The sequence below is a fragment of the Homo sapiens genome, chromosome 4 (genome assembly GCF_000001405.40).
Source record: "Homo sapiens chromosome 4, GRCh38.p14 Primary Assembly".
Classification (NCBI taxonomy): Eukaryota; Metazoa; Chordata; class Mammalia; order Primates; family Hominidae; genus Homo; species Homo sapiens.
The window spans coordinates 173,111,583-173,114,725 of NC_000004.12; positions in this window are offsets into that span (position 1 = coordinate 173,111,583).

Consider the following 3,143-nt stretch of genomic DNA (forward strand, 5'->3'; position numbering starts at 1 on the left):
AAGGATAAAAATATAACTTTAGAGAGAATATCTCTAAAATAATGGTAATTTTTAAAAGCAGAACATAAAAATTTTGAACATAGTGTGATATTAGTGTATTTCAAATAAACACATTTTATATATACATGAAATGCATAATATATATAAGCTTTAGGTCCTCAATATCTACAGGCATTTGGATTCACTCTTTCCTTCAAAGTCAATGTTATGCCTTCTTCAATTTTTCTAAACTTTCCAGCCTTTCCTTGCTTATCTACCTCTGCACGTAGTTCCATTTCTGGCACCAACTTCTTTAAGGTGGACACTCCCAATCCCATTATTCCTGAGAGGACCACTAACACAAGGCTATTGGTGTGAAGACCTTTACTAAAAATTGGGGATCACAGAGGGAAATTCCTATAACACATACAGGAAACTACCTAAAACAAGCTAGAATAAGGGCAGATTTCCTGACTGAGTGTTAAATCTATTGTAAAGTTACAAAATTTAAGCACTGTGGTACTGCATCCAGAATAAATGGATTGAATAAATGCTATATCCAAAAATTAAATCCAATATATGTATATAAATTTAGAATATAATTTTTTAAGTGTTCCAAAACAGTAGGAAAAGAACAGACCCTTCAGTAGTCAACAAGAAAACTGGAAAACCACTTTTCTAAATTAAGTTAGATTTCCCATCTGATGTTATATTCCACAATGAACTTAAGATGGGTTAAAGATTTATACATACAAAATGAAAACATTCAAATTAGACATTAATAAAAGTGAACATTGATAAAATAATCTTGCAGTAGGGGAAGGAATTTCTGAAACATAAGAGAAAAACCAGAAGTTTTAGAAAGGAACTAGCAAGTATACTTCCAAAAAGTGGTCCAAAGGAAATACCTAGGTAAGAAGACAAAGGTATAATTAAAATGGTGCTTGAGGGAGTGTTGTTTATACAGTCTAAATGTCTGAACTAATTTAAACACCTACCAAGAGAATTGAGTGAAATAAATTATAATACTTCTATGCAGTTAGATATTATATTGCAATTGAAAATAATATATGTTTATATTTATTGACACAAAAAGATGTCCAAAAAACTTAATCAGTGGGATAGAGAAGAAGAAGTTACAAAACAATATGTAGTGTTTGCTTTTTGTTTTAAAACAGCCTGGCTTCCTAGGCTGGAGTGAAGTAGCAATAATCATTGTTTACTACAGCTTTGAAGTGCTGGGCTCAAGCAACCACCCCGAGTAGCCGGGGTGGGACTACAGGAATGAGATGCCACAACCAGCTAATTACTTATTTATTTATTTTTGTTTTATTTATTTATTTTTGAGACAGAGTGTCGCTCTGTCTCAAAACAGAGAGCCTGTTGCCCAGGCTGGAGTGCAGTAGTGTGATCTCAGCTCACTGAAACCTCCATCTCCTCGGTGTGGCCACACTGCTTCTTAAAGTGGGTCCCCAGTCCTGTTCCTCCTCACTGGGCAGGACCTCCCAAATGGGGCCTCCAGCCACCCCCACCGATGTTTTCTGGCTGCTAGAGATTTGAAAATTTCCTGGGACAGACCTCCCAGAGGGAGGGGTGGGCTGCCATCTTTACTGTTTGGGCAACTTAGCCATTCCAGCCTCCAGGCTTTCGAGAGCCCAAGCCAGTCATGGGTGGAAGCAGTACCCCAGCACAGCATGGCTGCTCTATGAAAGTGGCCAGACTGCTTCTTTAAGCAAGTCTCTAATCCTATTCTTCCCAGCTGGGTGATACCTCCCAACTGGGGTCTCCAGTCACCTCCTACAGGTGTGTTTGGGCCAGCAACTGGTCTGTACCGCCCTGGGACAGAGCTCCCAGAGGAAGGGTCAGGCTAGCATCTTTGCTGTTTTGCAGTCTTCACTGGTGATACCTATAGGGTACTAGAAGATCTGAGGTGACTAGGTACTGGAGTGAATCCCCAGCAAACTGCAGCAGCCCTACAGTAAAGTGGCCAGACTGTTAAAAAAAAAAAAAACCCAAATGTCAAAAGGTCAGCAACCTCAAAGATTGAAGGTAGATAAGTCCACAAAATGAGACAGTATCAGCACAAGAACACTGAAAATTCAAAAAGCCAGAGAGCCTTCTTTCCTCCAAATGACTGCAAGGGTTCAGAGCTGGGTTCATAACTGGGCTGAGGTTGAGATGGCTAAAATGACAGAAGTAGAATTCAGAATATGGATTACAAACAAACTTCACTGAGCTAAAGAATCACATTGTAACCCAATGCAAGGAAGCTAAAAATCATGATAAAACATTGCAGGAGCTGACAGATAAAACAGCCAGTACGGAGAAGAATGTAATCAACCTGATAGAGCTGAAAAACATGATATAAGAATTTCATAATGCAATCACGAGTACTAACGGCAGAATAGACCAAGCAGAGGAAAGAATCTCAGAGCTTGAAGACTGCCTTTCTGAAATAAGAAAGGCAGACAAGAATAGAGAAAAAAGAATGCAAAGGAATGAACAAAGCATCCAAGAAATATGGGATTATGTAAAGAAACTAAATCTATGGCTGATTGGTGTACTTGAAAGAGATGGGGAGAATGAAACCAATTTGGAAAGCATATTTCAGGATATTATCCACGAGAACTTAAACTAGCTAGACAGGTCACCATTCAAATTCAGGAAATGCAGAGAAGCTCAGTGACATACTCCACAAGAAGACCACCCCCAAGACACATAATAATCAGGTTCTCCAAGGTCAAAAGAAAGAAAAAATGTTAAGGACAGCTACAGAGAAAGGCCAGGTCATCTATAAAGAAAAGCCCATCAGATTAATAGTGCACCCCTCAACAGAAACTCTACAAGCCAGAAGAAACTGGGGGCCAATATTCAACACTCTTAAAGAAAAGAATTTCCAACCCAGAATTTCATATCCAGCCAAACTAAGCTTCATAAGTGAAGGAGAAATAAAATTCTTTTCAGACAAGCAAATGCTGAGGGAATTCATTACCACCAGATCTGCCTTACAAGAGCTCCTGAAGGAAGGACTAAATATGGAAAGGAAAGACCATTACCAGCCACTACAAAAATACCATGAAGTACACAGACCAGTGACACTAGAAAGCAACCACATAAAAAGTCTGCAAAATAACCAGCTAACTTCATGATGACAAGATCAAATC